General features: G+C 45.2%; 1 protein-coding gene across 2 annotated transcripts in view, besides 15 other annotated features; it reads left to right on the plus strand.

Annotated features, from left to right (window-relative positions):
* Nucleotides 1-6014: part of a mitotic recombination region, noted in NCBI's record as "ABL major-breakpoint recombination CML sub-region recombines with the BCR-ABL major-breakpoint cluster CML sub-region within the BCR-ABL major-breakpoint cluster region, producing the e13a2 and e14a2 transcripts", that runs on past the window's edge. NCBI's record gives the evidence for it as "EXISTENCE:nucleotide sequencing assay evidence [ECO:0000219][PMID:20703256]".
* Nucleotides 1-6033: part of a mitotic recombination region, noted in NCBI's record as "ABL minor-breakpoint recombination sub-region recombines with the BCR-ABL minor-breakpoint cluster region, producing the e1a2 transcript", that runs on past the window's edge. NCBI's record gives the evidence for it as "EXISTENCE:nucleotide sequencing assay evidence [ECO:0000219][PMID:20703256]".
* Nucleotides 1-7009: part of a mitotic recombination region, noted in NCBI's record as "ABL major-breakpoint cluster ALL sub-region recombines with the BCR-ABL major-breakpoint cluster ALL sub-region within the BCR-ABL major-breakpoint cluster region, producing the e13a2 and e14a2 transcripts", that runs on past the window's edge. NCBI's record gives the evidence for it as "EXISTENCE:nucleotide sequencing assay evidence [ECO:0000219][PMID:20703256]".
* Nucleotides 1-8105: part of a biological region, named in NCBI's record as "ABL breakpoint recombination region", that runs on past the window's edge. NCBI's record gives its function as "recombination_partner: LOC107963947 | LOC107963948 | LOC107963951 | LOC107963955 | LOC107966121 | LOC107966125".
* The window catches only part of ABL1 (ABL proto-oncogene 1, non-receptor tyrosine kinase), a 174633-nt gene that overhangs the window by 132993 nt on the left and 16079 nt on the right, over nucleotides 1-25561 (plus strand). For both annotated transcript variants that reach the window (NM_007313.3, NM_005157.6), the window contains exons 2-4: nucleotides 8029-8202; nucleotides 8766-9061; nucleotides 16728-17000. In NM_007313.3, coding sequence (NP_009297.2) covers nucleotides 8029-8202; nucleotides 8766-9061; nucleotides 16728-17000 — 743 coding nt within the window. The remainder of the gene's footprint in view (nucleotides 1-8028; nucleotides 8203-8765; nucleotides 9062-16727; nucleotides 17001-25561) is intronic.
* Nucleotides 1413-2035: an enhancer, noted in NCBI's record as "NANOG-H3K27ac hESC enhancer chr9:133722835-133723457 (GRCh37/hg19 assembly coordinates)". NCBI's record gives its function as "activates a minimal SCP1, AML or CMV promoter by ChIP-STARR-seq in naive H9 embryonic stem cells {active_cell/tissue: H9 hESC(naive)}" and the evidence as "EXISTENCE:reporter gene assay evidence [ECO:0000049][PMID:30033119]".
* Nucleotides 1627-1921: a silencer, noted in NCBI's record as "tiled region #8295; K562 Repressive non-DNase unmatched - State 25:Art". NCBI's record gives its function as "represses a minimal TATA promoter and a strong SV40 promoter by Sharpr-MPRA in K562 cells {active_cell/tissue: K562}" and the evidence as "EXISTENCE:reporter gene assay evidence [ECO:0000049][PMID:27701403]".
* Nucleotides 7604-8028: a mitotic recombination region, noted in NCBI's record as "ABL p225 breakpoint recombination sub-region, recombines with the BCR-ABL p225 breakpoint cluster region, producing the e18a2 transcript". NCBI's record gives the evidence for it as "EXISTENCE:nucleotide sequencing assay evidence [ECO:0000219][PMID:26252834, PMID:17268511]".
* Nucleotide 8105: a mitotic recombination region, noted in NCBI's record as "ABL e15a2 breakpoint recombination sub-region recombines with the BCR e15a2 breakpoint recombination sub-region within the BCR-ABL major-breakpont cluster region, producing the e15a2 transcript". NCBI's record gives the evidence for it as "EXISTENCE:nucleotide sequencing assay evidence [ECO:0000219][PMID:11392325]".
* Nucleotides 13693-14542: an enhancer, noted in NCBI's record as "H3K27ac-H3K4me1 hESC enhancer chr9:133735115-133735964 (GRCh37/hg19 assembly coordinates)". NCBI's record gives its function as "activates a minimal SCP1, AML or CMV promoter by ChIP-STARR-seq in primed H9 embryonic stem cells {active_cell/tissue: H9 hESC(primed)}" and the evidence as "EXISTENCE:reporter gene assay evidence [ECO:0000049][PMID:30033119]".
* Nucleotides 14543-15390: an enhancer, noted in NCBI's record as "H3K27ac-H3K4me1 hESC enhancer chr9:133735965-133736812 (GRCh37/hg19 assembly coordinates)". NCBI's record gives its function as "activates a minimal SCP1, AML or CMV promoter by ChIP-STARR-seq in naive H9 embryonic stem cells {active_cell/tissue: H9 hESC(naive)}" and the evidence as "EXISTENCE:reporter gene assay evidence [ECO:0000049][PMID:30033119]".
* Nucleotides 16452-16952: an enhancer, noted in NCBI's record as "H3K4me1 hESC enhancer chr9:133737874-133738374 (GRCh37/hg19 assembly coordinates)". NCBI's record gives its function as "activates a minimal SCP1, AML or CMV promoter by ChIP-STARR-seq in primed H9 embryonic stem cells {active_cell/tissue: H9 hESC(primed)}" and the evidence as "EXISTENCE:reporter gene assay evidence [ECO:0000049][PMID:30033119]".
* Nucleotides 16953-17453: an enhancer, noted in NCBI's record as "H3K4me1 hESC enhancer chr9:133738375-133738875 (GRCh37/hg19 assembly coordinates)". NCBI's record gives its function as "activates a minimal SCP1, AML or CMV promoter by ChIP-STARR-seq in primed H9 embryonic stem cells {active_cell/tissue: H9 hESC(primed)}" and the evidence as "EXISTENCE:reporter gene assay evidence [ECO:0000049][PMID:30033119]".
* Nucleotides 20441-20942: an enhancer, noted in NCBI's record as "OCT4-NANOG hESC enhancer chr9:133741863-133742364 (GRCh37/hg19 assembly coordinates)". NCBI's record gives its function as "activates a minimal SCP1, AML or CMV promoter by ChIP-STARR-seq in primed H9 embryonic stem cells {active_cell/tissue: H9 hESC(primed)}" and the evidence as "EXISTENCE:reporter gene assay evidence [ECO:0000049][PMID:30033119]".
* Nucleotides 20447-20741: an enhancer, noted in NCBI's record as "tiled region #7858; HepG2 Activating DNase unmatched - State 12:CtcfO, and K562 Activating DNase unmatched - State 25:Art". NCBI's record gives its function as "activates a minimal TATA promoter and a strong SV40 promoter by Sharpr-MPRA in HepG2 and K562 cells {active_cell/tissue: HepG2 | K562}" and the evidence as "EXISTENCE:reporter gene assay evidence [ECO:0000049][PMID:27701403]".
* Nucleotides 24858-25057: an enhancer, noted in NCBI's record as "active region_29164". NCBI's record gives its function as "activates an Ori minimal core promoter by ATAC-STARR-seq in GM12878 lymphoblastoid cells {active_cell/tissue: GM12878}" and the evidence as "EXISTENCE:reporter gene assay evidence [ECO:0000049][PMID:35858748]".

Consider the following 25561-nt stretch of genomic DNA (forward strand, 5'->3'; position numbering starts at 1 on the left):
GGGATTTGAAGATAACACAAAGGCTGTGTTCAGTTAAACGTATGTCTGTGTGTGTGTGTGTGTGTGTGTGTGTGCTTGTGTGTGTGTGTGTTTTAATAATTTTAACTTCTCTGGGTGAAGGTGTAAATTACAAAATAAAGGACCATGTAGAAATAGATAAAATGACTTTCATCAAGCTCAAAATGTGGGAAATAATACTTTTCCTCTAAGCTCATATTTTGAAAAGTTGTTTGAGACTGTTATAAAATAACTTGAGAATAGTCTGAGCATGATCTCATCCGCTGGAACGGAGTATGAAATAAAACACGAAGCCTCTTTTTAGAAGGATCTGTTTTATAGATTTTTAAATTACAGAGATTCCTTGAACTGGAGGATAATAGCGAAGGACCCACAAAGGAAATATGAATAAAGCAGCACAAGTTTAAATAATTGAATGTGAGCAAAATTAAAGGGAACGTTTGTCACGTCTGACATGCTCCATCCTCCTGTCCCCCCCACACTGAACCGTCTCCAAGAACCTTCCGGAGAGCCCACAGTGTGAACAGTAATGAATGCTCCATAGCTGGCCGCCTTGCACTCTAGTGGGAACTATGATGTTGGGCACAAGTGCCAGCAGGAAGGTGGGAAGCTTCCCGGGGATGTTTTTCCTGGAGGTCAAGTCCCCCCTTGGGCTGTGAAGTAGCCGGTACTGGGGTTCATGGGCATTTCCCTTCCCTGACTGTTCGCCAGCGTCTGGCACAGCACCAGCAGCCCCTGGAAGTCTAGGCCAGATATGCCATGTCCGAGAATCTTTTGTAAACATTTTTCATCAGTGACTCACAGCTTTGAGAAAGGATTATTTTTATATAAAACGATCTTTCAATTTTACTTTAAAGACCCAAACCATTTTCTTAGAATACTGTCTAAACAAGTTAATCATGCACAGATCCAGTGAATTCTGTGGCCTGGTTCTTATAAAATTTCCAAATAATTTTATACTGTCATAGACAGAGCCAGAGCTTTTTAGAGGTTTGAGGCATTTTTTAGATGTATTACTGTTCTCGGTGCTCAACTAGCTAATTAGTGATTTTTTCTGAGTTTAGTTGGTGAGTGGAAACCTTTTTGTTAACATTATGACAAAATAACAATATGGTTTTAAGTGGAGTGAGAGGCACTTTTGAAGATCCAGATCTTAGATCCAGATCTTAAATCTGTTTAAAGTATGACTCAGAAAGGAGGCTGCAGAAAATGTTCACTAAAAAAATTTAAGAATAATAGCAGATGCTAAAATTTATTTCCCAAGACAATAGCCAAAAAGATCTGCTGGAAGAACAGAAGAAGGGAACTAGTTGGGGCATCTTTTTTTTTTGAATGAAGCCTTCAGCCTTCTTTAGGGGAATCTTGCTTCCTGACAGAGGGACCGGTGGAAAGTTTGTGTCTTAAGCAAGAAAGATTTAAGTACATTCTGCAACTTTGGCCTTGTAAGCTGTGATCATTTTTAAGGTTGACGAGCATAGTTCACTATGAAATGAAGCAAGTAACTTGGCATTTATACATTGTGAGTCAATTTTGACATCAGCCTGGATTGGGAATTGACTGGAAGGTTTTGGTGTTGGACTGTGGCTACACTTCAGTGTCTCGGTCCAGAGGCATGCATGAGCAATACTTCCCTTTGGGCTTTAGCCATTAATTTGTGGAATAGAGCAAGAACTGGAGAGGAAAGTCGAGAGACTGCCTTGGATCGCCTGACGTCCTGTTGAATCAAAAAGCAGTGGGAGGCCCTTTCCTTCCTAACAAAGGCCTCATCCTCTTGCATAACATTCCCAGCATCTGTCGACATGTTCGGGACCATCCCACTTTAACCCACACTTCAAGTGGATGGCCACCTCTGGGCGGGGATCTGCATTCTGCTTATTCCAGGTGTTTTCCAGGCCACTTCCCCGATTATGTAACTTTGATCAAATCCAGATGCGGCAGAATGTTTGATAGAAGAGGTCAAATGGCATTTGAGAAGAAAAGCATTTCTGTATTCATGACTTTGGTTTAATTTCCTGTGTGGGCCTGGTCTGCCAAAGTTGTATGCTCATGGCCACGAGGTTGACGCACCAGAGGGAGGCACTCAAGTGCCTTTTCAGGACAGCCTGAAGGAAGCCTCCCTCCCCAGCATGCTTTTTCATGTTAAATTATCAATTATGTAAGTTTAGGGCCAGGCGCGGTGGCTCCTGCCTGTAATCCCAGCACTTTGGGAGGCTGAGGTGAGTAGATCACTTGAGACCAGGAGTTCAAGACCAGCCTGGCCAACATGGCAAAACCCCGTCTCTACTGAAAATGAAAAAAAAAAAAAAAAAAAAAACTTAGCCAGGCGCAGTGGCTCACATCTGTAATCCCAGCTACTCAGGAGGCTGAGGCAGGAGAATCACGTGAACCTGGGAGCTGGAGGTTGCAGTGAGCCTAGATCGCACCACTGCACTTCAGCCTGGGCGATGGAGTGAGACTCCAACTCAAAAAAAAAAAAAAAAAAATTTCAATTGGCTTCTATTAAAGCTTTTTTATGTTTGTCATTGTTTTCTAGTAATAACAACAATCCACATTTTTTGTGAGAAATATACCATAATATAGAGAAGTATAAAGAAAATGTAAGGCCAGACACGGTGGCTCACGCCGATAATCCCAGCACTTTGGGAGGCTGAGGCAGGCTTATCACCTGAGGTCAGGAGTTCGAAACCAGCCTGGCCAACATGGTGAAACCCCATCTCTACTAAAAATACAAAAAAAGTAGCCGAGTGTGGTGGCGGGCACCTGTAATCCCAGCTACTCAGGAGGCTGAGGCAGGAGAATTGCTTGAACCCGGAAGGTGAAGGTTGCAGTGAGCAGAGATCACGCCATTGCACTCCAGCCTGAGTGTCAAGAACGAGACTCCGTCTCGAGAAAAAAAAAAAAGAAAAGTAAATTTAAAGCACTTAAAATCCCACCACCCTGAGTTAACTACTGTTCACAGTTTGGTGAAATTCCTCCTCGTCTTCTATTTTTTCATAGTTGGGACCATGCCTATATACTGGAATGTAATATAAACACTTAATATATTATTGCGAGTATATTCTCAAACTTAAATATTTTTTCCAAAAATATTTTGAGTGGCTTTTAAAATATATCCTATTTTATGCATGCAGCATAAACTAACTTATCCTGTGTTGATAGATATTTTGTACTTGCCCTTTTCTGTGCTGTTGTTTAAAATTAGTGTATAGAAATAATTGTGTTGATCACTTAGGATAAATTCCTAGAGGTAAATCAGATATTAAATTCTTTATAGACTTCTGGTTCATATTCCAGTTGCCCTCAATTTATACACCTACTACTAGCATTGTATGAGAGTGCCCGTTTCTCTGAAATCTTACCCACACTGGCTGTCAGCGTCAAAAAGATGTATCTGCAGATTTGGCAAGGAATTTGCATTTCAGTGATTATTATCAAGCGTTCACACACTTTCCATGTTTAATGGTAATTTTTTTTGTTTTTTTTTGAGACGATGTCTCACTCTGTTGCCCAGGCAGAGTGCAGTGCCGCGACCTTGGCTCACTGCAACCTCTGCCTCCCAGGTTCAGGTGATTCTCCTGCCTCAACTCCTTAGCAGCTTGGATTACAGGCATGCGCCACCATGCCCGGCTAATTTGTGTATTTTTAGTAGAGACGGGGTTTCACCATATTGGCCAGGTTAGTCTCAAACTCCTGACCTCAAGTGATTGCCCGCCTTGGCCTCCCGAAGTGGTGGGATTACAGGTGTGAGCCACCGCACCTGGCCTTTAATGATAATGTAAATTTTTTGTGAATTGTTTATTCGTGGCTTTGCCCCATTTTTTCCATAGTGGAGGGATTTTTCTTTTTCTTGTTGGTATGTAAAGTCCTTGTGTGTCAAGAATGCTCTGCCTCACAGTTTTTCTAATATAATGACAGTGGAAGCTCGTAACTGGCTTCCACTTGACTGACTTGCTAAATTGACCGGCACTCTTCACTTCCTTATAAAACATGCCTCCATAGTCCCTGTGCCCCATGGCACATGGGATGGGGTAGCCACACTACCACTGTCTGCTGCTGCATATGTTCCTGTCCACAAGAGCCAGTCATGTTTGTTTCCAAGCCTGGTTCTTTCAGATATAGCTGTTGTTGTAATTACTTGGTTGATATGAAACCAATGAAATGCAAGTGTGAAAAGAGAATTGTTTCTAGGAAAATTAAGATGAATGCTTTAGAAAGACTCAGTAAAGGAAGATAAATTTAACAAATTACTACAGAATTAGGTGTAAGACAACAGTAAATGATTGGAATGAATTACAGAAATCTAGAAAGCTTTGACAGTGGGAATGCGTAGTGAATGGCTCTAAGTTCTCCCTCCATCTGTAGGAAATTGAAGCTGGAAGTGAGATGATATATTCATTATAGGGAGGACTTACAGAAGAAAACATCAAGCTCTAATCACATGTCCACATTTCGTTTTGTTTACTTATTTTTTGAAATGGAGTCTCACTCTGTTGCCCAGGCTGGAGTGCAGTGGCATGATCTCAGCTTACTACAACCTCTGCCTCCTGTGTTCAAGCGATTCTCGTGCCTCAGCATCCTGAGTAGTTGGGGCTACAGGTGTGCACCACCACGCCCAACTAATTTTTATATTTTTAGTAGAGACGGGGTTTCGCTATGTTGGCCAGCATGGTCTTAAACTCCTGACCTCAGGTGATCTGCCTGCCTCGGCCTCCCAAAGTGCTGGGATAACAGGCATGAGCCACCGCACCCAGCCCCACATACCTACATTTCAAAGGACAGTCTTTGGCCCTACAGTCAAGACTACCAAACCAATGTACACTAAATGGGGGTGGGGATCACGTTGTTGTTTTTTGTTTGTTTTTGTTTGTTTGTTTGTTTGTTTGTTTTTTTGAGAGAGTCTCGCTCTGTCACCCAGGCTGGAGTATAGTGGCGTGATCTCGGCTCCCTGCAAGCTCCGCCTCCCGGGTTCACGCCATTCTCCTGCCTCAGCCTCCCGAGTAGCTGGGACTACAGGTGCCCGCCACCACGCCCAGCTAATTTTTTTGTATTTTTAGTAGAGACGGGGCTTCACCGTGTTAGTCAGGATGGTCTCGATCTCCTGACCTCGGGGATCACATATTTTAATAAAATTGATAATCCCTAATAGTGATGGCGCTAGGTGTACTTTTAGAGCCAATGTAAATAGTCGAGAAAGGGGGCCAAACATATGACTAAGCTTCTTCTACACTCTAGGAGATGTCAGTATTGCAAGATCCTGTTCCTTGAAATTATCTTTGCCCCCCGCCATTCAGAAAAATTACCAAATATTGTAATAATGTAATTTAGGACTTACCCTTTCAGAGAAACAGTTCCTGAAGGTTGACTTCAGTTAGTAGTACAGAAGCGAGACTTGAAGCTCTTCATGGTTTATGTTCTGTTGGTTTATCCCAAAGAGATGTTTTAGAGCACATTCATTTCTGAAAGTTCTCGGTCATGTTTCCGGAAGTTTGATCAGGTGGGTTCTTTTTCTTTTTTTAAAAGATAATTTTTTTTTTAAAGATAATTCAGAATCAGTCCCACCCCTGAGATGGTATTATTACCCAGGAAAGAATGCGTGAGGATCCTCTAAATCCATAGAGAAGGAAAACTAAAACAATTTTGTTACCATTTGTTTGGCTCAAGCATCTGGTAGATCCTTCAGTTCTTTTCAAATTAGAATTTTCCTCTCTTTTTCTTTTTTTTTTTTTTTTTTGAGATGGAGTCTTACTCCATTTCCCAGGCTGGAGTACAGTGGCACAATCTCGGCTCACTGCAGCCTCACCTCCCGGGTTCAGGCAATTCTCCGGCCTCAGTCTCCTGAGTAGCTGGGATTACAGGTACCCGCCACTAATTTTCATATTTTTGCCTGGCTAATTTTTGTGTTTTTAGTAGAGATGGGGTTTTGCCATGTTGGCCAGGCTGGTCTCGAACTCCTGACCTCAGGTGATCTGCCCACCTCAGCCTCCCAAAATGCTGGGATTACAGGGGTGAGCCTCCACGCCGGGCCTCTCTTTTTAAGATAATAAAAATTACTAAACATCATAATGACATGATTTGGGATTACTCTTTCAGAGAAACAGTTCCTAAAGGTTTACTTCAGTTAGTGATTTTTATTTTTATTATTTATTTATTTTTTGAGATGGAGTCTCACTCTGTCTGCCAGGCTAGAGTGCAGAGACGAGATCTCAGCTCACTGCAACCTCCGCCTCCCAGACTCAAGCGATTCTCCTACCTCAGCCTCCTGAGTAGCTGGGACTAGTAGCTGGAACTACAGGCGCCCGCCACCATGCCCGGCTAGTTTTTTCTATTTTAGTAGTGACGGGGTTTCACCGTGTTGCCCAGGTTGGTTTTGAACTCCTGAGCTCAGGCTCAGGCAATCTGCCTGCCTCAGCCTCCCAATGTTCTAGGGTTACAGGCATGAGCTACTGTGCCTGGCCCAGTTAGTGATTTTTAAATTGTAGTTCCTTAAATGAGTATTTTGGATTTCACTCCACAATGTTCTTCAACTGTAAGATCTACTTGAGGTTATTTGATTTGCTGGTTTGCAAGAACTCGTCTACACGTTGTCTTTATCACAAAGAAATTCTGGAGCGTTTGAGCCCTGTTCAAAAAAAAAAGGCAAGAAGAAACTTCAGGAACAAATAACCTATTTGACCCTGTAATGAATAATATTCACACATTTTCTAATTTAAGAGCTGTTGATTGATTTCCAACTTTTAGAATCTGTTTCAGACAAAACATGGAAGTTTAGTAACAGTTTTTTCTATTCTGTAATAATAATTGCCACAAGGTTAAAAAAAAAAATTTACAGAAGAACATATTTGAGGGTGGTCGTGGGGGCAAGAAAGCTGGAAGGACGGGTGGGGTGTGTTAATAGCCTTGTCTTGTGAAGTAAGTCCTCAGAGACGCTGTCCTAGTTGGAAGAACAGGCAGTGAAGGTGTGCGTCTGTTACGGAGAATAGGACTCCAGTGATCTAGCTGGTACTTAGAGAGGTGGGGGTGATCACCAAAAAAACAGCTCTGCCTCTGGGAGCGGAGAGGACTGGGATAGAAAGTATTTGTCTTTCATTTTAAGCCCTTCTGTACGATTTGACTTTTCTTTTTTTTTTTTTTTTTTTTTTTGAGATGGAGTCTCACTCTGTCACCCAGGCTGGAGTACAGTGGCACGATCTTGGCTCACTGCAACCTCCGCCTCCCAGGTTCAAGCAATTCTCCTGCCTCAGCCTCCCAAGTAGCTGGGACTACAGGCACCTGCCACCATGCCCGGCTGATTTTTGTATTTGTAGTAAAGACAGGATTTCACTGTGTTGGTCAGGTTGGTCTTGAACTCCTGACCTCATGATCCACCCCCGGCTTTTTTTTTTGACACGGAGTTTCTCGTTACCCAGGCTGGAGTGCAGTGGCGCAATCTCTGCTCACTGAGACCTCCACCTCCTGGGTTCAAGCGATTCTCCTGCCTCAGCCTCCTGAGTAGCTGGGACTACAGGTGTGCGTCACCATGCCCGGCTAATTTTTGTATGTCTAATGGAGACAGGGTTTCACCATGTTGGTCAAGTTGGTCTCAAACTCCTGAACTCAGGTGATCCACCCACCTTGGCCTCCCAAAGTGCTGGGATTACGGGCGTGAGCCACCATGCCCGGCTAAAGCAAGAAATTTTCATTGCATATTTTAAGCAAAGGCAAATGCATATGTGGATAGACTGTTTTAATTTGACTAAAGTCATATTGAATCCATGAATTTTAGAAGCTCAAACTATTGGGGAACAATAATTACCACCTTGGAGTGAAAATACTTAATTTCCACAAGATTTAGTAAAGGAAGAGTTTTTTAAAAACCACCTTAATGATAATAGTATGTACAGATGTTAAGAAATGAAATAGGAATGTGTAATGTTGGAAACACAAATATTTTTGCTTCTGAGAATAAAACTAATTTTTTCTCCCAATTTTCTCTTCCTTTTTCTTTTTTCTGTTCCCCCCTTTCTCTTCCAGAAGCCCTTCAGCGGCCAGTAGCATCTGACTTTGAGCCTCAGGGTCTGAGTGAAGCCGCTCGTTGGAACTCCAAGGAAAACCTTCTCGCTGGACCCAGTGAAAATGACCCCAACCTTTTCGTTGCACTGTATGATTTTGTGGCCAGTGGAGATAACACTCTAAGCATAACTAAAGGTAAAAGGGTTGTGGGCAGCTAGTGGTGGTTGCAGGAGATAGAAATCTGGGAATTGCGGTTTGACCTACCACCCTTTGCTCGTTAAAGGAGCAGCTTTGAAATCTGGACTGCAGGGATATCCAAAACAACAACTGCATGTTTCTAAGGGAGTCGACTCTCCTTAGAGGAGTTCTTGTACAATAGCCCTGGGCAAAAACAGAACTTGCCCTATTTTTTATACTGAAAAGGACAGCTGGACAAAATACTGAACGCAATTTTTCCCCTAAGAAAAAGCATTATTTCCCTAAAATGTCTTATATTAGGAACAGAGCACTTGAATAAACATAATTGATTTATAAAAACTGAGGCTATACACTTACCTATCTGTTCAGTACAAACAGGAAGCTTCAAATGTAAACGTGAATTCTCATACACTTATAAATGCATATCTTTATGTGGACTTGTTAAAATGAAATTGGTATTTAGGAATTTGGAGATTTTTAGTAGTTACACAAGAATCAATGAAAAAGAACGAAGCTGGTTTCCAAAGCTGATATGTCTGATTTGGTTCCTTTCTTCTCAGGTGAAAAGCTCCGGGTCTTAGGCTATAATCACAATGGGGAATGGTGTGAAGCCCAAACCAAAAATGGCCAAGGCTGGGTCCCAAGCAACTACATCACGCCAGTCAACAGTCTGGAGAAACACTCCTGGTACCATGGGCCTGTGTCCCGCAATGCCGCTGAGTATCTGCTGAGCAGCGGGATCAATGGCAGCTTCTTGGTGCGTGAGAGTGAGAGCAGTCCTGGCCAGAGGTCCATCTCGCTGAGATACGAAGGGAGGGTGTACCATTACAGGATCAACACTGCTTCTGATGGCAAGGTAGGGGACCCTTGGCAGGGGGCGCTGATGGGCCCAGGGCAGGGGAACCAGAGGTCCTGCTGTCGGATTGATAAATTATTGCAAGAAAGCTCAACCAAGAAGATGTTTAAAGAATCTTTCAGGTGGGAGTCATTCCATTAGCCTTATGAAGACCCTTTATTGAGGATCCGTTCTGTGATATTACAAGTTCCTGGGACTGGTATGATTCTCTTATTGTCTTGCTAGAGTTTTGTTGTTAGCAAGTTACTTAAAATAGGAGGAATATCTGTTGGGTTTTGGACACATTTTTTACAATAAGATTCTTCCTTTAAAAAAAATATTTTATAATGATAGAAATCATCCCCAACGAGAAAAATTCAAATAATAGATAACCTTTCTTAGAGCGAAAGACCACTTTACTATCCCCTCCCCCACAGACGCCTGGCACGTGGGCTTCTTCCTGCGGATGAACACATTCATGGAGAGGTGTGTGGACATACGTGCATACACGCATGCAGTTTTCAGTGAAAACCGGGATCAAACCCACAGCTTACCAAACCCAAAGTGTGGTGTTGTAAGGGAGGTGGCCTATATGATTTTGTGGTCTTCATATAAATAATCCTTAAGAGTCCATAAAGAGAAGGGAGGAGTTAACATTGACTGAGGTATTGCTATAATACCTGCATCTTTGCATTAAAGAAAGGGAGGCATAAAGAGATCTTGCCCGATGTCAACCTAGTGAGTCACTGATGGAATAGGCTTGGATCCCACAGTTTATTCTACTGCACCAGGCTGTAGTTGAGGTACAGTGTTGATAGGTGGTCCCGATGGTGTATGTTTGTTTGTTTGTTTGTTTTTGAGATGGAGTCTTGCCCTGTCACCCAGGCTGGAGTACAGTGGTGCGATCTTGGCTCACTGCAACCTCTGCTTCCCATGCTCAAGTGATCCTCCCACCTTAGCCTTCCGAGTAGTTGGGACCACAGGCGCACACCACCATGCCCAGCTGTTTTTTGTTTGTTTATTTGTTTTGAGATGGCATTTTCGCTCTCATTGCCCAAGCTGGAGTGCAATGGTGCGTTCTCGGCTTACTGCAACCTCCACCTCCCGGGTTCAAGCATTTCTCCTGCCTCAGCCTTCCAGGTAGCTGGGATTACAGGCATGCACCACCACACCCAGCTAATTTTGTATTTTTAGTAGAGACAGGGTTTCACCATGTTGGTCAGGCTGGTCTCAAACTCCTGACCTCAGGTGATCCACCTGCCTCAGCATCCCAAAGTGCTGGGATTACAGGCGTGAGCCACCACGCCTGGCCGTTTTTGTATTTCCAGTAGAGACAGGGTCTCGCCATGTCGCCCAGGCTAGTCTCAAACTATTGAGCTCAAGCAATCTGCCCTCCTCGGCCTCCCAAAATGCTGGGATTACAGGCACGAGCCACTGTGCCCAGCCTATATTTTTTAAATAGTATGTAATGCATGCATATGGTTAAAAAAAATCAAAAGAACAAAATGAATTACAGTAAAAAGTAATCGTCTCCTAATTCACTTTTCCTGCCCAGAGGCAAGCACTGGTACTAGTTCCTTCTAGAGTTACCTGGACACAGATGGATGGTATATAGATGTTTATGTGGATGTTTATATTCAAAAAGGCACGCAAATGATACATGCACGCGAATGCATCATGCTTCTCCCGTGTGATAATACACCTTCGAGATTGTTTTATGGCAACAGGTTTAGAGCTGCCTCATTCTTACCAGTGACTGTGTACCGTGGATGGACTGTCACTTATTTCAGTAGTCCCCTGCTGGTTGACTTTTAGGTTGTTTCCAATCTTTAGTTATTGTAAATAATGCTGATATGAGGTGGCTTTCAAACCTTTTCAAAAATCTGGTTCTGCTGTAAGAAAAACTCATTTTACACCACCACCCAGCCCTCACAATATAACAAAAGTTTCATGAAGTCTTACCTACCCTTACTGTATGTAACGCACTCTGATAGTTTGTATTTCATTCTGTTCTATTTCATTTTTTAAAAATTCTGGTTGTAATCCACTAAATTTATTTCATAGACTGACTAGTGGCCCATGGCCTGGTTTGAAAATGCGTTGCACGTGCTTCTTTATGTGGGTGTAAGTGTGTGCAGATAAGTTGCCAGAACTGACTGAAGGTTATGTGCATCACCAGGTCACCCTCTATAGAAATTGTACAAATTTGTTCTCCCACAAACAATCCATGAAAGGGCTTGTTTCCCCTTAACCCACACCAACAGTTTATTATTAGACATGTAAAAACACCTTTGTCACTCTGACTGGTAAAGAATGGCATCTCATTATGTTGAATATCCATGTGGCATATTTTGGGTCATCTTTATGCCATTTAGTAAATTCATCTTTTTCCTACATGTTAGAAATATACCAAGTGTATATGTGTATCTAGGCCTGTTGACCTCTCTGTTCTCTTCCATTGGTCTGTCTATCCGTATGCCAGTACCAAACTTGTAATTGCTATGGCTTCATACCATGTTGTGGTATCTGATAGGCTAGTCCCCACTTACCTTTTTAACTTTTTTTTTTTTTGGCTGTCTTCACACATTCACTTGTACCATATGAACATACATATACTTCCTTTTTAATGTTCTTATTTTTCTTCACATCCCAAAGTCTTCTGGCTGAAATCCTATTGCCCATATCTGATGCTTTCCACCACTGCAGAATTCTTTAGTACCAACACTGCAGTGTGCGTGACGGACAAAAGAGCCTGTTATCCCTGTGTGACTAGACGTGGGCCTGTCAGCTTGCTTTTTGGGTTATTGTTCTTATCCCAGAGGTGGAGCTGCGTTCTTCCATTCTGAGGGACGTACTTCAGGACATTGGGCCCTTTGAAAGAGCCTTCAGACCACAAGGGTACCTTTCTAGTGAATCAGAACACCAGGGTGCACCGCCCATGGGGGGTGATTTTCTGGAGCAGACAGCTTGCTTCCCATGTGTGCTATTTATCCAAGGCAAGTCATGCTGCACCGAGATAGTCACTTGAGGTTTGCACCGAACAGGATAATGGTTTCTTTTCCCTAGAGCTGTTTAATCAGCAACCTTGGAACAGATGCAGGCAGGCATGATCTAGTGTGACAGCTCATTAGCTAGGGGTTGATCTAAAATACTGTTCAAATGGGCAAGGAAAGGCCTGCGTATGGGATATGTGATTTGCAGAATTTGAGATTCATCCAAAGAGGGAGAATCTGCCTAAGATGCCTCTGTCTAAAAGCTAGTATGTGCCAGGTGGGTTTGTTTCATTCCAGGTAGAGCACAGGGAGCTTATGTGACCAGGCAGTGTCCACCATTGGGCAACACATCACACTTCCCTTGGCGTCTTGCCTCCTCCCTCCCCGTCTGGCACAGACTCTCCCATCAGCCGTTTGGGCACCTGGGGACTTCTGAGCCCACAGCGTCATCCAGCAGACCGTCTGCGGAGGTTCCTTCCTGTGAGGGCCGCACTCGAGGGGGTGTATTGGGTGGGATCGTATCACTGGAATGAGTGAACATCGTTAGAGGGAGCTCCCACAGCTATGCGTGTGACCGTGTGGCTCGCCGCTGAAAAATGCTGCTCACATAGCAGAACTTCGATGCAATCCTTTTTGGATTTCTAAGGGGAAATTTTAAGACCGATAGGAGGAATAGGCTGGGGTTGAATAAGTTTGGTTCTTATTTTTAAATTAGCTCATCTTTAGAAAACAACTGAATTTAGAAGATTCTTCTGTAAGGCCCCAAAGGATTTCTTTCTGCCTCCCCGCTCTTGGCTCTTATTTGTGTCTCTCCTCGTGTTCTGAGCTTTTCAGCAGCCCTTGTGGGTCATCAGCCGAGGACCATCAGCTCGGGGCCCAGAGCTGGGGACTGGGAGTTATGAGCTGGACTCTTGAAGGGGCCAATACTAAACCGAGCCGTTGCCATTTCCTAGGAGCCTTGACAGGCTCAAACATCTCTGGGTACCCGGGGATTTGACTGTCATTGTTCTGATCCTTTCCCAAAGTTGTAACCCTCTGTTGACATAGCGGAATTGAAGATTGATTTTTCTTCACCACCTTCTGCCTAAAGTTCTTAGTTCTGAATGTGTCCACACCTCATTGACTTCTATGAGATGCCCCTGTCACGTTCCTCGATTCCTTCTAGTCCTTAATAGAGTCTTTCCTTTTCTTGAAAGAAATTTGCCCAGTTGACATTTATTTTCATCGTCTGCTGAAGTGACAGATCCAAGGCCCTAAGCTTCAGCAGAGTTGCAGGAAGGGACCATTTACACAGCCTCTTAGATGTTTAAGGTTTACCCGCCCTGACAGTGGCTCAGCAGGCGTAGGCCTCCTGGTGAAAAGCCGAGCACATGGCTAACCTGCTCTGGTGGAGGGGCTTTGGACCGTTCTTGTGTACTGCGAGGCTTGCCTTCCTGCTGGTGTGTGAGCAGCTCTCGGGGGAACTTGCTTCCTGGCTGAGCAACCTGTAAACAGTATGTCTGAGGTGGGACTCCCGGGCCCAAAGCAGCCAAAGGTTGCACAAGTCTAAGCTCCGTTAGGCCTGTCAGTGTGGCTGTCAAAAGAAACGCTGTTTCTTTTCTTTCTTTCCTTTTTTTTTTTTTTTTTTTTTTTTTTTTTGAGACAGGCTGTCACCCAGGCTGGAGTACAGTGGCACAATCTCGGCTCATTGCAACCTGCGCCTCCCAGGTTCGAGCGATTCTCCTGCATCAGCCTCTCAAGTAGCTGAGACTACAGGTGCCCACCAGCATGCCCGGCTAATTTTTGTATTTTTAGTAGAGATGGGGTTTCACCATGTTGGCCAGGCTGGTTTCGAACGCCTGACCTCGTGATCTGCCCTCCTTGGCCTCCCAAAGTGCTGGGATTACAGGCGTGAGCCACTGCTCCTGGCAAAATGCTGTTTCTAAGCGTTTCTTTGACAAGTCCCATCCTTCAGGTTCATGCATGATTAGGGAGAGGCAGCAGCCCTGACTGAGCACCTGAGTGTTCATGGAACCAGGTGCATAGCGTAATGACATGCCATTCATGACACTACTTTCTTCCCTGAACATGCCATGAATTCCTGATGATTACACAGTTCCCCAACAAGTGCTGCTCAAAACCTGGAACTAATCAGAAGGAAGCACCAGCCTTGACTGTTAGTGGGACACGGGGAAGATGGCTGTGAACCAAATATGCGGTGCCTTTGGGGGAGAATGGTTTTAGTATTTAGTAAGTGTCAGTATGTAAGTTTTATGTTGAAAAATGAACTAAGTCACAACAAGGTCTATAAATTTAATTATTGAAAAGGATAAAGTTGGGCCATTCAGTGAAACCTCCTGTAACTGAAGTCTCTAACACAGTAGCCAATGGGGGAATCAAATGAGCCCAAGAAGAAATTCTGCGTAAACTAGGACTTAGGGGAGCCCTTAGCATTCCACTTTGGAGTGAAGGAACCCGATCCGCCAGTTGGGGAACGCTCCTTTGAGGCCCATGTGCTTCCTGCTCCGACGGGAGAGAGGGATAATGAGACTTGCTCCCAGGTGCCCTGCCCTGGAGCCCAGCAGGCCACACGGGCTCTTTGACTCTGTACTGTGCCAGTGATTTCCAAGATGGGAGTGGTGCTCTGATTGCAGGAATGTCTTCTTGGAATGGCTTTTCTCACTTCTCTAGAGTCCTTGGTAGGGAGCACATCATCAGCTGAGCTAACGTGAGAACAGGGGTTGGAGCACTTGCCACCGGCAGTGAAGTAATCGGACAGCTGACAGTCTTTTCCAGAGGGTCGGGGATTGGGAGCTGACCCCAGGTCCCGCTCCGTTTTCTTTGTGTGCAGCACTTGTGTTGGTGACCAGCAGTGAAGAGAGTGCGTGGACGTCACCGTGTGGTTATGAAGCTAACGGCAGCCCTCAGCGGTGCCGACTTCCGCTCCCCGACACATTCCTGTGTGCACGTTCGTGGGTCTGAGCGTGACTCATGGTGTGTGTCCCTAGAGCAGTTCACTCAGAGGCTTCTCTTCCGTGCTCTCAAGAATAAAAGCAGGGCCGCCACATCCTGATAAGTCTTGCCATTCAGCGGTCCTGTCTTGCAGAGGGATAAGCCAGTGTCCCCAGGCCACAGTCCTTACACCTTGAGCAAGTTCCCCAGAGTGAAGCAATCTTTCTAGACAAGTTTTGCGTTTCTCAGAATTTTATTTTAGTGATATTGTTACCAAAAGATTGTAACCCCAAAATGTGTGCCTTTGGCTTGCCTGTTTTAGGAATTCACTTGTGTTATCTCCCCAAGCAAAACAAAAGAAAGAGAAACCTTCCTGTTGACGAATCCTTTTTACCTTCTTGAGAGTTGTCAATGGGACTAACTTGTATATTTCTTTGCTACCTTCTTTTAAAAACATTTTTCTTATTTACTATTACAGACGTATAGTAATGGTGCCTGACATAACCCACAGCCAAAGGCCTTGGCCTTGCTGTGTGTATTTCAGGCTTTTTCTTCCCTTTTCTTTTTTTTTAAGTAATAAGATATTACAGTTATAGCTGAAGCCTGATCCTGTTCCCTTTTCTCCCTCTCGTCCCAAGCATCACCACTGTCCCAAATCTGCTCCTTCTTCCCACATCTTTGCAGTTTGGGCAAGTCTTCTGAATGCCTAGTCATGATTTTAAGTCTTCTTTCCACCTTCAGTGATGGTTGGCTACCCTGAGCAAGCCAGTAGATTCAGTTATGTGCCTGGAGTCCAGATGTTTTATGTGGATTTTTCATGTGGAATTGTTTTTGGTAAGGAAGTATTCCCTTGCCACACCAATGAAAAGAGAAGAAAACAGGTAGCTGGCACCCACTGCATTGTTGCTTTCTGCCAGCCTGCTCCTTCTCCTTCCTCTCCAGCTCTGTTGTGTCCAGATGCAAACTCTACATGCAGGGTTTGACCCTAGGTCCTCACCTGCTGTAGCTCTCACACGGGGACCGAATGCTCTTGTGTCGTAAATCCTTCCTTTTGCTTCCTCGTGTTGGATGTGTTTAGTGGTTTTCATCTTCTGGTCACTATTTCATTCTAGGTTTATCCCCTTTAAATTATAAATTAAATGAATTCTTCGCTTTTCCTACCAGCAACTACCCACCAAGTTCTACCATGTGTTAATTTAATCAACAGTTATTTATTGAGTACTTATTACATGTTGATTTCCTGTTCTCAACATTGGAATGAAGACAGCTTAGGGTTCTGCTTTCATGAAGCTTGCATGCTCTTAGGTGGAGACAGACAGTAATTAAGCAGATAAACAGGAAATTATGAGCTAGTAGTGGGTCCATTGCTGAGAAGTAAGACAGGTGGTAGGATGACCCGTGCCGTGTGATGACTTTAGATTGGGTGGTTGGGGAAGACTTCACGGACCTTAAAACTGGCCTTGGAACGGGAAGCGAGAACTGGGCACGGAAGATGAGGGAGTGGGAGATTTCAGGCAGAGGGAGCAGCAGCAGGTACAGAGGCCCTGAGGCCTTTTATTGTGTCTTTTTGCTTGAGCGAGTAACTTAGAGCACACGTAGAGAAAGACAGCAGAAGTGATCTTCTAAACACTCTGTCCTGTGTGGAGAGCTCCTTATGTGAGATTTTGCTGTGTAGTGAATTAAGGCTCAGCCAAACTGGCTCACGTGAGCTCTTTGAGCTTGCCTGTCTCTGTGGGCTGAAGGCTGTTCCCTGTTTCCTTCAGCTCTACGTCTCCTCCGAGAGCCGCTTCAACACCCTGGCCGAGTTGGTTCATCATCATTCAACGGTGGCCGACGGGCTCATCACCACGCTCCATTATCCAGCCCCAAAGCGCAACAAGCCCACTGTCTATGGTGTGTCCCCCAACTACGACAAGTGGGAGATGGAACGCACGGACATCACCATGAAGCACAAGCTGGGCGGGGGCCAGTACGGGGAGGTGTACGAGGGCGTGTGGAAGAAATACAGCCTGACGGTGGCCGTGAAGACCTTGAAGGTAGGCTGGGACTGCCGGGGGTGCCCAGGGTACGTGGGGCAAGGCGTCTGCTGGCATTAGGCGATGCATCTGCCTGGAAGTCTACCTCCTGCCTGCTGTCCGAGGGCTTCATTGGCGCCACGGAATTGACTTTTCCGTCTTATATCATTCCTGTGTCTTTGTAGGAGTGGAATCATTCTCATAGTCCGAGTGTGTTTCCACATATGGTGAGAGCTGACAAGCATGGAGGGGTTTTGGTGTAAAAAGATTAGTCATTTGGAGAGGTTTTCTCATTTTATGGCAAGGTTCTTTTAAAGCCGTGGATTTCCATGCTGTTCGTGCGGCATGGAGATCACTTCCTACCGAGAGTTAAGGAGGAAAAAAAGATCTCTGAGTTTTGAAAGAAGATTTAACCAAAATGCATTTGACTCTTCTGTGGATTTTTGTTGGCTGATTTGGAAGGCAGGTGCCCTGGGCATCCCCAGTGGGTTCCAATTCTGCAGCTGCCCAGACTCCTGCAGGCAGAGGTGGAAGTGTCCCCGCTAGAAAGGCATCCAGGAAACTCGCTTTTGACCAACTCAGATACAGTCTGGTCTTTCTTGTTAACTGGGACTTTACCCTCTCCACTAATGAATAGTGTTTGTAGTTTCCAGGCAGGTTTTTTTCTTCTTTTGAAGTTCTTTGAAACCCTTAGGACGCCAAGGGAAGGAAGTTTTCATTTTCAGCCCTTTGCATTCTTCAAAATGTGATCCAGGCTTTTCCCTGTGGCGAGGGTGTCCCCTAGTGTTGACTTACATTATTTCCACTTGTTTTAAATGAACTTTGATTACCTTGACCTGTGCACAGAAATCAAGAGAGGCAGCCCCTTTTTAGAGCTGTTAGAAAAGAACTGAAACATCCACCTCTGGGAAAAATAGAGTTTAGTTTGTGCATGTGTCTCAGAAGTCAGGTGCACACATTGAGACTGGTGCAGCCACATGCCTGCCTTTTAGGGACTCCTTGACTGACCTGATGCCTTCACCCAAAGGCATAGTGAAATGGGAAGTATGATTTCTGACTGGTATGAAGTGGCTGCTTTAGAGAAAAGATCACATTCTTTAGTCCTAGAAACCAAAGGTGGCTTCCTGATGCTCTTATTCAGCACGTGCCTGTCTTTGAGGCAGGACTGGCACTGGGGTGGGGGCATGGTTTGGGGTTACCTTAAGGACCCTGGATATTTCTCAGATAGGACTTTTTCTTTTCTTTTTTTGAGACGGAGTCTTACTCTGTTGCCTAGGCTGGAGTGCAGTGGCATGATCTCAGCTCACTGCAACCTCCGCCTCCCCAAATTGGCGATTCTCCTTCCTCAGCCTCACGAGTAGCTGGGATTACAGGCACCCGCCACCACACCCAGCTAATTTTTGTATTTTTAGTAGAGATGGGGTTTCGCTGTGTTGGCCTGGCTGGTCTCAAACTCCTGACCTCAAGTGATCTGCCTACCTCAGCCTCCCAGAGTGCTGGGATTATAGGCATGAGCCACCACACCCGGCCCTGGACTTTTTCTTAATTGAATAAATATTTATCAAGTTCTTCACTTCTATTTGACGGTTCCTGGGCTCAACACTGGATTAGAAAATGAATGGGACAGAGTTCTTCATCTGAGACATAGGGTGGTCCAGGTAGTAGGAGGAAGAAGGATTGCAGCGCAGCAGTCCTCGGGACACCACCAGGGGGTGAACGAAGGAGGGACGGGGGAGCTGTGCAGGTGCCCCAGCTCCTTGGGTTGCACAGGGTTGAAGACCAGACCCAAGAAATGGGGCCTTGACCAGCTCAGCAAACTGAGAATGGCCTAGATTTCAGCACACTTTCACCAGGATTTGTCAAATGAAGGAAGATTCCAAGCGCAAAATACCCTAGATTTCAACCAGTAAAAGCTTGTCTGAAAACTTCCAAGATCGGGTTGTACAACTTGACATTTGAGGAAACGCTACTTCAGTAGATGGTGCTGTGGCATTGTTTTCTGAACAACTGAAGGAGGAGACTCCAGAGAAGGGTACCTGCTGGAGACCTGTGTGGTTTGTGGGGTGGGTTTCTTATATCACTGAATCTAAAGTGGGTGCCTTTCAGAATGTGCTTTACTAATAATGTGTTACTCTGCTTTTAATTATACTTCTAATAATTTTTCCCAAGAGCCTAATTAACTTACGATCTCACAGTTGGTAAAGAATTACAGGATGTCATTGCGTGGATTTCTGTGGGCAGTCACCCGGAGTGGTATCTAATTAGGGAAAAGGCAGTATGTCCCTTTCTGGAAGTGTGTTAACTGAAAATACGGTACTAAGCAACTGCTAAATAAATTAGCCCTCCTTCCTCCTGGCCGTGCGCAGAAACATCCCTGCAGTATGTTGCCTATTTGTCAAATAAGATTAGTGTAAATATGGGGCATTTACCTTTGCTATAGAAGCTGAAATTGCCAGGCACGGTGGCTTACGCCTGTAATCCCAGCACTTTGGAAGGCCAAGGCTGGTGGATTGCTTGAGCCCAGGAGTTAAAGACCAGCCTGGGCAACATGGCAAAACTCTGCCTCTACAAAAAATACCAAAAATCAGCCAGGCGTGGTGGTGCGTGTGTATTCCTAGCTACTTGGGAGGCTGACATGGGAGGATTACCTGAGCCCGGGAGGTTGAGGCTGCAGTGAGCCGTAATCGTGCCACTGCACTCCTACCTGGGGAGCAGAGTGAGACCCTGTCTCCAAAAAAAAAAAAAAAAAAAAAAGCTGAAATCCTTGAGTGGATTCTAAATCATGGCAGTGGCTAACATTCAGCTTCATCGTGCCCTTGCTGTGTGCCTGGCAGAGACCTCTGTGCTTACTACATGTCGCATCTCATTGAATCCTCACAACCTTAAGATCCTTCCAGGTTGAGCATCCCGGACCCTAAAATCCCAAATCCTAAATGCTCCCAAATCCAAAACTTTTTGAGCACCGGCATGCAGCTCAGAGGAAATGCATACTGGAACATTTCAGATTTTGGATTTTCTAATTTGGAGTGCTCATCTGGTAATATAGTGTGGATATTCCCCAATCTGCAAAGATCTGAGCTCCGAAACACTTGTAGCCCCAAGCCTTTCAGTTAAGGGACATTCACCCTGTATCAACATTTTAATGCTGAGAAAATGGAAGAGAGAGAGGTTAAGTGACTGACCTGGCATCACACAGCCAGGAGTGGCAGCATCAGGATTTGAACTGGGGCACTCAGCTCCAAAGCTCAGCTCTTCTTTTTTAAAATTGAACCCAGATTCTTATTTCTCAAATACCATAAAATATTTACATAAGCCACAGTTATGCCTTTTAAAAAAAAATCACCTTTTCCCCCCACTCTCCCATTTACTTCCTTTGCAGTTTGTGGCTACGATCTACCTTCCTCTTCAAAACCCTTGAAAAATCCTTGCAGCCTTGCCCAAGCGTCCTTCCCTCAGCCGATTTTTGGGCCTCAGTTTCCTCCCATCCAGCCTGTTTCCTATCGCTGGCTTCTCCAAGGGCAGAGCCAGAGTCCTCTTTTGCCAGCAGGGGGAGCAAGGGCCTACTTTTAACCGCAACTCCATAGTGAACAAGTCAAGCAACCTTGGGTCATTCATATACCTTCCAGGCAGAAGGAAGACAGAAGAGAACAGGAAAAAAGCAGGACACTAGGCTGACCCCTGCAGATGGGAAGCTGGAATTACAGCAAAGGCTCATTGATTGGGAACTGCACCCTTGAATTTTGATAGTATTGGGCAGGACATAGTCTTGCTATCTGTGTTAAAGGGAGGACGTGCTTAAGAAAACCAACAGTCAAGTACAAGAAGCTCTAATTTTTTTTGAGGTGGGGGAACGGGGTCTCACTGTGTTGCCCAGCTGGCCTCAAACTCCTGGCTCAAGCAGTCCTCCCACCTCAGCCTCCTGAGTAGCAGGGATCACAGGCTTGTGCCACTGTGCCCAGCTAAGAGGCTGCAATTTTTTAATGAACTGTATTCAGAGTTTGTACATCAGTGTCTTTTTTTTCTATGAATCAGTTCTCTAAGTAATAGAATTTGGAAAAGACCGCTGGTGATCTAGCTGTGGCATTTAGATTGACTCATGAGCTAACTGACAAATTTACTACTTAAACAGTGGAAAATAATGTGCAGGATATATTTTTTTGAATAGGTTGTCCCACCCTCGAGTTCTGTGTCTTTCCTGAGTCCGCATATGTGAACCTTGTTTTAACCAGGTGACAGCATCCCATAGGCACGGATCTCTGTCTTCTGTTGTCCACATCATGTGTCTTGGCAGTTGTTCCTTATTGATATACATAAGGTTGTCTTGTTTTTGTATGGATATATTTTAACATGTACCAGTGTTCAGTGGGCCTTTCTCTTATTTCCAATATTTTGCTGTTCTAAACAGCAGCACAGTGATTCCCCTCATTTGCATGTATGTGAAACTATCCTGGTGGGTCCGCTTCCAGAAACTACTGGATCAGGGACCATGTGCATTTATGGCCTTGACCATACTGCCAGAGTACCTTCCAAGGAGTTTGTGTCATCAATTTGCACTCCCCAGTGGTGTTGAGAGAGTGCCTGTTTCCTCCACCCAGCACAGTGTGTTTCGGTTTTATTTCTCCCAGGAAATGGGTGTTAGTTGGGGAGCTCCAGAAAGAAGCCGAGAAGAAGGGCAGTCGTACCCTTGGCAGTTGTACGCAGTGGCTCTCTGGCCGCACAAGGAGGGCTCGGAGCCTGCTGTTGCCAGGTTGCACTTGCTCTTGCAAGACAGGCATTCCTTGCAGTGGGTTCTCCTCTGGCCAGGGAGATGAGTTCTGGGGGCTCCTCTACGAGGTGGTCTCTCCTGGGCTTTCCTCTCGAGCTTCAAGTCCCACCTCTGGAGTGTGAATCGCCTTCCTCAGTCTAACTCTATCCCTCCAGTGGTTTTTTTTTTTTTGCTTTTTGTTTTTGTTTTTGTTTTTTTGAGACAGAGTCTCACTCTGTCACCCAGGCTGGAGTACAGTGGCGTGATCTCGGCTCACCGCAAGCTCCACCTCCCGGGTTCAAGCAATTCTCCTGCCTCAGCCTCCCGAGTAGCTGGGACTACAGGTGCCTGCGACCACGCCGGCTAATTTTTTGTATTTTTAGTAGAGACAGGGTTTCACCATGTTAGCCAGGATGGTCTCGATCTCCTGACTTCATGATCTGCCCTCCTCGGCCTCCCAAAGTGCTGGGATTACAGGCGTGAGCCACCACACCCAGCAGTCTCTTCAGTGTATTTAGCTGTGTTGATCCTGATTCATCTGATGGGTGAAGGAATATTGGAAATAAGGATAATCCCTGTGGTGTTTCACTGTGCCTGTAACCTCTCTCACCTAGCATTTGGTTAACCAGAAACAGATGTGGAAACTGATCTATCTGTAGATAATGGCCCTGCTCAGGGAGGGGGTCCCTGCTGAGAGCGAGACATTGAAAGCCTGCTACACAGAAACTGCTGGAAGGCCAAGCCATTTCTTTTTTCTTTTTCTTTTTTTTTTTTTTTTTTTTTCAGACAGAGTTTTGCCCAGTAGTTCAGGCTGGAGTGCAGTGGCATGATCTCAGTTCACTGCAACGGCCTCCCAGGTTCAAGCAATTCTTCTGCCTCAGCCTCCTGAGTAGCTGGCATTACAGACTCCTGCCACCACGCCCGGCTAATTTTTGCATTTTTAGTAGAGACACGGTTTCACCATGTGGCCAGGCTGGTCTCGAACTCCTGGCCTCAAGTTATCTGCCTGTCTCGGCCCCCCAGAGAGGCCAAGCCATTTTTAAAAACAGTGTTCTTTTTCATGCTGTAGAATACCTGTGCTTGGGGGTGAGCAAAAAGGAGGAAACTGATTAGAAAATACCTATGAGGGCCGGGTGCAGTGGTTCATGCCTGTAATCCCAGCACTCTGGGAGGCCGAGGAGGGCAGATCACAAGGTCAGGAGATCAAGACCATCCTGGTTGACATGGTGAAACCCCGTCTCTACTAATAATACAGAAAATTAGCTGGGCGTGGTGGCAGGTGCCTGTAGTCCCAGCTACTCGGGAGGCTGAGGCAGGAGAATGGTGTGAACCTGGGAGGCGGAGCTTGCAGTGAGCCGAGATCGCGCCACTGCACTCTAGCCTGGGCGACAGAGCAAGACTCCGTCTCAAAAAAAAAAAGAAAATACCTGTGAGATGTTGAGTCTGGGAGAATGTATCTGTGAGAAGACAAACAACCCTAGTATTCATTAAAGAACCAGCCTTTGTTTTCTACAAGCTATCTGTTCGGTCTACTCAGGAATAGAGATAAACTGCCTTAATAGTAATAAAAGCAAGCACCGCTGAGTGAGTGCTGGCCTCATGCCAGGAACTGCTCTTGGCACTCTGTGCACAAGGGAGATACTGACATTCTTTCTGTTGTGCAGATGAGAAAACAGGCTCAGAGAAGGTGAGTAACTTACCATGGTCACACAGCAGCAGAGCTAGGTCAGTATAATCCACAAGTCATTCTCTTAACCGCTCCGCCGTACCGCCCAGAATGTTCATCTGCATCTGGGCCAGCCTCGTCAGTCCGTGCAAAGAGGCCAGTTGACCCATCTCCCTCCCTAACAAGCACAGAAGAGACCAGGCTGAAAATTCATAGCTTTCACTCAAAGTGTTTCCTTCACCTCATTCATCTGAGTTAGCTTTATTTTACTATATAAAGAGAATTTTCTTCAGCAAAATGATAGGAATTTTTTTAATGAAAGTAAAGGAATGTCACAGAATTGCGTCAGGGATATTTCCAGTTTAACACAACTACAAACGTAGGCTGTTTTGTTGTTGTTGTTTTGGTTTTCTATTTTGAGATGAAGTCTCACTCTGTCGCCCAGGCTGAAGTGCAGTGGTGCGATCTTGGCTCACTGCAACCTCCTGCTCCCGAATTCAAGTGATTCTCCTGCCTCAGCCTCCTGAGTAGCTGGAACTACAGGCATGCGCTACCACGCCTGGCTAATTTTTGTATTTTTAGTAGAGATGGGGTTTCACCATGTTGACCAGGTTGTTCCGGAACTCAGGTGATCCACCTTGGCCTCCCAAAGTGTTGGGATTACAGGCATGAGCCACCACACTCGGCCAGCTGTTGTTAATAGTTAAAATTATAAATTGGACAAGGTCTGATTCCAGCAGGGGGAGACAAATTCACATTGATTTTTCTATAAGAAAAGGAATTATTTGTACTTTCCTCCCTTGTGTGTTTGTGTGTATGTAAGAGAGACAGATGAGAAGAGGGCTGCCTTTGAGAGCCATGTTCCTTTTGCATGTACATACCTCTCAAGATTATTACATGGGTCTTTTAGAAGAGGGTCAGTAGCTATAAAAGCAAATGATATTTATGAAATGATTTCATTGTATGTGGTTTATTATGTAGTCTTCAAAACAGAAAAACCCCACTTGCTTCGAAAGCTTCCTTTGAGAGCTACTTTTTAACCATATTGTTGATCAAGCAAGATTCTTAAAGCCCCAGTCCTATACGTGAGCAGCATTGAATCCCCGGATACTGGCAGGCGTTCACTGTCCAGCCTTTGACATTAGCATGTCACCCTGGTAAATCAGAGCACTCCATGCCAAAAAACAGCATGGTCTGCTGAGCACATTAAGGAGCAGAGAGGGCTCAGAAGAATTAAACGGCCAATGGGGTGGTGACAGAGGTGAGCTCTTTCCCCCTCGGACAGCTTGGCATGGTGACTACCAATGAGGTTTAATTGACATTAAGAGCAGCTCACCATTTTTAAAGAGCGATAAATTGTTTCCAAGTTTCAGCCTCACGGAGCCCTGAGCTAAGAGATAATGGGCTGACACATAGCCTCATTGGTCACGCTTCACTTGTAAACAGGATTGGCCAAAGCAAGAAGGCTGTAAGTAAAGGTTGGCCCGTCCTCTGGAAGCCTCCCCCACAGCAGGGTGGGGAACTGGGGCAGCCATAGCAAGCAGGACCATCAGGACACGGTGTCTCCCAAACGGGCCGGAACATACAAGGTTCTACGTTTAATAGAAAGTTGATCAAGCCTTCCTCTTTGGGGAGCCTAATTTTTAAGCCATTCACTCTCTGTTCCCCTGCAGTCTTTTCTCTCCAAACTCTGTTGAAACTTGGAGGCATCTCGCTTCCTCCTTTGGCCTTTGTAGCCAGGTTTTCGCAGCAAACAGACCATATCATTTAACACCCACCTGCTTCTTGTTCTGATAGTCAGTTCAGTAGACAGTAGCATTTTTTAAGTCAAAAAGAGGCTTAGTGATGTAGGCCAAGGTCAAGGCTCTGTGTCATGGGGCTCTCCCCAGGGCTCAGTGCCACGGCACTTCAGACTTGACCCCAGACTGAAAAGATGAGAGGACCTGTAGAAGTCACGGCCTGTCTGTCCCGGGCCCATGCTCCTATCTTTTTCTCCCCCTTGGCATTTAGATACCATGGACTTGTTAAAATGTGACATGTACTGATGATCCTTATGAATTTGTTGGTAGGGGAGCTGCTGGTGAGGATTATTTTAGACTGTGAGTAATTGACCTGACAGACAGTGATGACTGCTTCATTAAGAGCCCACGACCACGTGCCAGAATAGTTCAG

The sequence above is a fragment of the Homo sapiens genome, chromosome 9 (genome assembly GCF_000001405.40).
Source record: "Homo sapiens chromosome 9, GRCh38.p14 Primary Assembly".
Taxonomy (NCBI): domain Eukaryota; kingdom Metazoa; phylum Chordata; class Mammalia; order Primates; family Hominidae; genus Homo; species Homo sapiens.